At 39.2% G+C, this 7292-nt stretch overlaps 1 annotated feature.

The window, feature by feature from the left end:
• Positions 1237 to 1738: an enhancer, noted in NCBI's record as "H3K4me1 hESC enhancer chr1:88553815-88554316 (GRCh37/hg19 assembly coordinates)". NCBI's record gives its function as "activates a minimal SCP1, AML or CMV promoter by ChIP-STARR-seq in naive H9 embryonic stem cells {active_cell/tissue: H9 hESC(naive)}" and the evidence as "EXISTENCE:reporter gene assay evidence [ECO:0000049][PMID:30033119]".

Below are 7292 nucleotides of genomic sequence, written 5' to 3' on the forward strand. Positions count from 1 at the left end.
TTAGCTGTGTCCCAGAGATTCTGGTATGTTATCTCTTTGTTCTCCTTGGTTTCAAAGAACTTATCTATTTCTGCCTTAATTTCATTATTTACACAGTAGTCATTCAGGAGCAGGTTGTTCAATTTCCATGAAATTATGTGGTTTTGAGTGAGTTTCTTAATCCTGAGTTCTAATTTGATCGCACCATTGTCTGAGACACTGTTTGTTATTATTTCAATTCTTTTGCATTTGCTGAGGAGTGTTTTACTTTCAATTATGTGGTCGATTTTAGAATAAGTGCCATGTGGCCCGGAGAATAATGTATATTCTGTTGACTTGGGGTGGAGAGTACTGTAGACGTCTACTAGGTCCACTTGATCCAGAGCTGAGTTCAAGTCCTGAATGTTCTTGTTAATTTTCTGTCTCGTTGATCAGTCTAATACTGACAGTGGGCTGTTAAAATCTTTCACTGTTATTGTGTGGGAGTCTAAGTCTCTTTGTAGGTCTCTAAGAACTTGTTTTATGAATCTGGGTGCTCCTGTATTGGGTGCATATATATTCAGAATAGTTAGCTCTTCTTATTGAATTGTCCCTTTATCATTATGTAGTGCCCTTCTTTGTCTCTTTTGATCTTTGTTGGTTTAAAGTCTGTTTTGTCAGAGACTAGGATTGCAACCCCTGCTTTTTTTTGCTTTCCATTTGCTTGGTAAATTTTCCTCCATCCCTTTATTTTGAGTCTGTATGTGTCTTTGCATGTAAGACAGGTCTTTGGGTTAGAACATGCTCCTTTAGTGTATCGTAGTTTTTTATTACCCATCTTCTGAAGCCTACTTTTGTCAGTTCATCCACCTGATCCTCCATCAGTTCTGTGCCCTTGATAGAGAAATGTTGCGATAATTTGGAGAAGAAGAGGCACTCTGGCCTTTTGGGGTTTTGGCATTTTTTCGTTAATTCAGAAAGAATCATGAGTTTGTCTAGTTTCAGTCTTTGAGGCTGCTGACCCTTGGATGGGGTTTTTGTGGGGGCCTTGTGGTTGTCGATGCCATTGTTGCTGCTTAATGCTTGTTTGTTTTTCTTTTAATAGTCAGGTCCTTCTTCTATAGGGCTGCTGCAGTTTGCTAGGGATTCACTTCAGGCCGGATTCATCTGATTTGCTCCTATGCCTGGAGATGTCACTCAAGCAGGCTGGAGAGCAGCAAAGATGGGTGTCTACTCCTTTTTCTGGGACCCCTGACCTTGAGGGGCACCAACCTGATGCCAGTAGGATCGGTCCTGTATAGGGTGTCTGACAACCCCTGTTGGAGGATCTCATCCAGTTGGGTGGCACAAGGAGCAGGACCATTTTAACGAAGCACTTTGTCCCTTGGTGGAGATGGTGTGTTTTGCTGGGGGGAAACCCATTCTTCTGGGCTGCCCGGATTCCTCAGAACTACCAGGAGGAGAGGCTAAGTCTGCTGGTCTGCAGAGACTGCAGCCACTCCTCCCGCTAGGGGCTCAGGCCCAGGGAGATCCGAATTCTGTCCCTGAGCCTATGGCTGGAGTTATTGGAGATCCTGCAGGGAAGCATTGCCCACTGAGGAAGGGTGGGTCAGGTTTAGAACTGAAAAGGCACTCTGGCCACAGATGGCCACAGCTGGTGTGTTGGGCTGTGGGGACAAGTCTTGGGACCAGGCTGTCCAGTCTCCCTGGCTCCAGCAGGGGAAAAGCGCAGCCTGGAGCTATAGAAATGGGTGCCGCCCTTCCCCCACCCAGGGAGATTAGGGTGTTAGGCAGTCGTGAGTCCCAGTGCTGGCTGCTGCCCCTCCCCCGAAGGAGCTCAAATGGCTTCAATAGCAGGCAGCTGCAGCTGGTGTTGGTCGCTCCTCCCACTGGGAGTTCAGTAGGGTTAATCAGAATCCAGTTGAGAGGCTCTAAGAATCTGAAAGTTCTGGGGTTGGGATGTTAGGCCCCAGTGGCACGGATTTGTGAGTGGGATCTTCCGATCTGTGGGTTGCACAGTTGCGTGGAAAAAGCACAGTTTCCCTGGCTGGATAACAAGCTCACTCATTGCTTCCCTTGGCTGGGGGGAAGGGGTTCCCCTTCCCTGTGTGGCTCCTCAGGTGGGCCACCGCAACACACTGCTCTTCCTTCTCTCCATAGGTCACGCCAGCCTTCTAGTCAATTTTGATGAGAGAACCTGGATACCTTGATTGCAGGTGAAGGATTCACATGCTTATTATGGTTTTTTTCAGTGGGAGCCTCTGAAGGGTGCTGCTTCTAGTCAGCCATCTTGGCCCACCCTCCAAATGACCTTTTAAATATTAATCACATCAATATCTTCCAGAGGCTTATTAGATTATGTAAACTAAAAGCTAAAATCTTTGTCATGGCCAGCAAGACTCTAAATGAACTGGCATCTGGGTATCTTTCTGTCACTCTCTCATTTCCATTCTATCTGGTGCTTACTGAACCCTACATAGGCTAGTTCTGTTCTCCACTCTGCACTTGTAGCTCCTTGTGCCAAGGACAATCAGACATTTGGTTTTGCCTAGAGGCCAATATTTATCGGCTGATCTGATGTTTCATTTGGTTTGACGATATAAGTCCCTGATTTAAGTTTCACTAAAATAAATTGGAATGTTTGGTAGGCCTCCACTTTGTAATTCCAACTCTTGTCTGGTACTGTGTGAGACACACATACAGTGAATTGAGTTTTCACTTTCCACAACATATAAAAAATGGAGAACCATGTGTCACTCTCATTCCCCAATGCAGAGGAACTAAGGTCTTCATTTCAAAGGGGCATGCAGTGGGCCTGCAAGCACATGGCTAGGGAATGCTCACTTCTTCTAGTTTCAGGTAGTGGTGGAGGAAACATATGAGGCTGCCACCTATGCCAACCACTTGCTGTACTGGAGCCCCAGCCCCAGCCTGTGAGATGCATGAAGTCTCCAACTTGCCTATTAGGGGTCAGTGACAAGTGAAAGAAATTATGGTTTAAGTCTATGTGAAATATATCCAGAAAATGAGACTGAGGAATCCTGTGGAGCATTAAAAAGTACAGACTGAATACACTTAGTATGGAAGTTTGGTTATCACTTGGTATGAATCTACAACTATTTCTATATTTAATTTTTTGATATTAAATATATAAATTTATAATTTATTTTACATTTTTGAAATAAAGGATCTCAACAGCAATGAGCTAAAAATGCATCCTAAATAAAAATAAAAGTGCTGATTTTTCATTTCTTATGTTGATGGGAATGCTGAACTTATCTTTAATGCTTATCAACACTTACTGCTTACTTTGGGGGCCATAAATGATATTGCTGACATGTGAAAACCATAGACATAAATCTGCTGAAGAAACATTATCATCTGTTTTAAACAGTATTTATTTTAAAGACTAAGCCCCCAAGAGATAAGTTAACTGATGCAGCTGCAGAATATATGTTTATGAGTCACTTTGTGAGCCATGACTTTTCATTCAGATCGAAGGATTGTTATTTTTAATTAATTGTGTTTATTTTCAATGCCAAGTTTTTTGTTTTCTTTTGTTTTGTTTTGTTTTTAACATGAATGAAAAGTAAAGCAGTAGTTCTTAATATGTTGGGTTCATTACCAGAAGTGACGTTAGTTTCTTATCAGTGTCAGATAGAAAGTCAGCTAATTCTAATGGTTCAATTTTTTCATGCAATTCATGGAATCAAAGGAAGGCTTTGGAAGTTCATTTTGTTAAAGAAGAAACATTTGAAATTATTATGAGTGCTATTGTAATATCAGTTTAAAAGTAAAATATTAAGCCACAGTTATTTTCTTTGCTGTGATAATTTAAAAAGCCAAATTCAGAAGAACATTGTCTCATGGTAAAGCACAGCTCTTACTAAATTAAGAAGCTTATAGAGCAGACATTTACTTGGAATTTATAGTGGTAAACACATAATTCATAATCACAAATAAATTGGGATATTCCACCAAGGAAAATATAATTTTTAGCTGTAAATACACACACACTATAACTGAACAACAAAATATGATAACACTGTTGAATACAGAAAAGAAAATACTTCAACATGAAAATACAAGCTTCCTCCCTTTGCTATCCATTATAAAATGGGTTTTAGAAACATTTGTACCTTTGAAGTACTGCTTTTTAAATCAGCCTTCTTGCTTCATAAGATATTGTGCACTTTTATAAATGATTCCAAATTTTGTTTTGTTGTGAACAATGAACACAAGTTATTATGAACATGAAGTGTGGACATAAAATGATGAAATTTATTTCTACAAAAGCAAAGGAGGAAGTGAAGAAATAAAACAATGAAAGCTGAAACATCATGCGAGATTTAAGTCTGAAATTTTATAATTGTGCTTTGGAATAGTTCAATTTGTGGGAAGATTGTATGATAAAGTTCCTATATATAATACAGATTAGTCTGTATTATATACTGGAATTCGATGAAATTGAGAAGGTTTATGATCTTATAGTGTCTATATTATCTATAGTTAGGAAAACATTCATAAGAATCATAGAGAATACTCATTTGATGAGTTTTGCTGTGTGAAAATATTTATCATAGAAAGGTCCTCAAAGACGGTACCTGTGAAAATATTTGGTCTGAAATATTTACATATTTCAGTACAAAAAAATTAAGAATATTCTCCATTTTGTAGAACATGCTCTGAAGTTACACAGTACCTCAACACTTATGTGGAAAACTTTATTCTCAATTCAGAATATGATGTATAGAGAAAAATTTATTGGAAATGTCAAAAATTTCAAATTTATTAACACTAAAATGCAACGTGGAAGAAGATTGCATTTATGGAAAACAAAACAAAAACAAAACAAAACTATGGTGGGGCACAGTGGCTCACACCTGTAATTCCAGCATTTTAGGAAGCCCAGGCAGGTGGATCACTTGAGCCCAGGAGTTCGAGACCAGCCTGGGCAACATGGCAAAGCCCCATCTCTACGAAAAAAAAAAAAAACTTAGCTGGCCATGGTGGTACATGCCTGTAGTCCTGCCCATTTGGGAGGCTGAGGTCGGAGAATCACCTGAGCCCAGGGAAATCAAGGCTGCAGTGAGCCAAGATTGTGCCACTGTATTCTAGCCTGGGCAACAGAGCAGTGAGACTCTATCTCAAAAACAAAACAAAACAAAAAAAGACAATATTGAAAAAATGCATTCTTTTGAAAAACACTTGTTACACGGTGCTAAGACAGACATGGCTTAAAACGAATTAAAGCATGTGAATATAATTCTAGAATAATTACTCGACTTCTCATTTTTAAATGTTTAGTTGACATTATTTTTACTTCGCTTATGTTATTTTTAGTGTTTGAGTAATCGATAGCAATACATTTTTTTTTCTCTTGACTTTCTAGGTACATGAACCACATACACTCTTTTTTCTCTTTTTTGTTTGTTTTCAGTTAAAACAGTGCGAGCTGGATTTTCTCTCACTTGCAAGCCAATGAATTATGACACTACATTTAATAGGGCTGTTTTAAAGAAATAGGGAGATAACATTTGTGAAGCACTTAGCATCTTGTATAATACATCCCAAGTTCTCCATAAAGGTAGCTATTCCCATAAATTTGGCAAAATAGGTACCATTAGGGATGTGTCCAAAAACGCCAAGATAACATCAAGTCCCTAACAATATATTTGATATAATTTGGATAATGCTAATTATGGCTCTCAATCAAGCAACTTTTTCCTTATAGGTGGCTACTTTCTCTGATTACTCTGTCCTCAGTTGTTGTAGTGGTAATCAGTATTCACGTTAAAGAGTTTGAAACAGCTGACTGGAGAAGTAGGCTGAGAGGTTAATAATTTTTGTAGTGTAATTTAAGACCCATCTAGAATGACTACTAATCAAATATATTTTCTGAATCACATATGAATTTATGTGAATCTGAAGAATATGTGAGTTTCCACCTTCATGACTGTTGCCTCCTCCAGCCTGTCATAGATTTTGATGCAAATGCTTGTAAAACGGCAACTATCACAGGCTATTAGACTCATGCTTTCATCCATGTGCTGGGCACTGTTCTAGCTGCTGACTTTCGTGGAGTTTATAATAGCAATAGGGAGTAACAAACATAAACAATATTTTAAAAGTAAATTATATCATATGCTATAAGGAAGTGCTATGGGAAAAAAAGACAAAACGTATGGATCATGTAATGGTGATCAAGAATAAAGAGAGAAAGGTTGGATTTCACTGTTAAATAATGTGGTGAGGAGGAGAAGGTGGGATTTAAGCAAAGACTTGAAGTGGATATCTAGGAGGAGAGTGTCTTAAACAGAGGAAATAGCTGGAATAAAGGCCCTAAGGTAGGAGAATGTCTGGCATTTTTGAGGAACAAGGAGGTCACTGCGACTGGCGTGAGAGGGTGAGAGGCAGAATAGAGGTGCTGATGTCACAAGGACTCTGGCTTTTACTCTGAAAAAAATAGGTTAACAAATGTTTCTTCTTCCTGGCAAGAAAGTGACCTGCACTTAGGAAGTATCTGGAAGTCTGGGATATTGAAGTCAGCTATATGGAAAGCAGGGGGGGTGGCACTTATTTGATAGGAAAAGATGAAAATAAAACACATCATCGTCCCTAGGAGCACTTTTACAAGTGGAATACCTTTAAGCAAAATGGACTGAAACGAAACAAAGAGATTCTAGCTAGAAAAAGGAAAGTGGCAGTTCTTAATAGGCAAGTGACAGAACGCCAAAGCGTTGGATGTGTTACTTGACTGAATGAGTCTCAGTCCACTTCCATGGTAGCCTTTGCAAAAAGTGACTGACTTTCACCACTTTAAGCTGCTGTACCTTCTTAAGCTTGTGTACTTTCTGTAGTGCTCCTCACTATGTGGTCCATGGACCGCCAGCATAGTATCACCGGGGGACACTTGTGAAAATACAGGTCCCTGGACCCTACCCAGGCATAGTGGATAATGCTGTCCAGGTAATTTTTACACATCTAAAGTTTGAGAATATGGAACAGAAAGACAGCTTTTTAAGGCTCCCTCTGACTCTGGATTCCTATGAACAGTTTCCCATGCCAGGTCCCCAGAATGTTCAATTTTGTGTGTTTTTGTTTATTGCTGTCAGGGCCATAGATCTTTGGATCAGATAAAGAGAAAAAAGTTGAGAAACATGCCTTTTGATATTGTCACAGGGAAAGGGAGATGATTTAAATAAAATTTTACAGTGTTGCTCATTTCCATAACTGTACAAACATGAAAAATGTTGTGAATAGTTACTGGGTGAAGGTGACCTTTTCATAGTGATGTTTGGATTTGAGGATATATTAATTTTTCTGAGTGTACA

This window comes from Homo sapiens, chromosome 1 (genome assembly GCF_000001405.40).
Source record: "Homo sapiens chromosome 1, GRCh38.p14 Primary Assembly".
NCBI classification, from domain to species: Eukaryota; Metazoa; Chordata; class Mammalia; order Primates; family Hominidae; genus Homo; species Homo sapiens.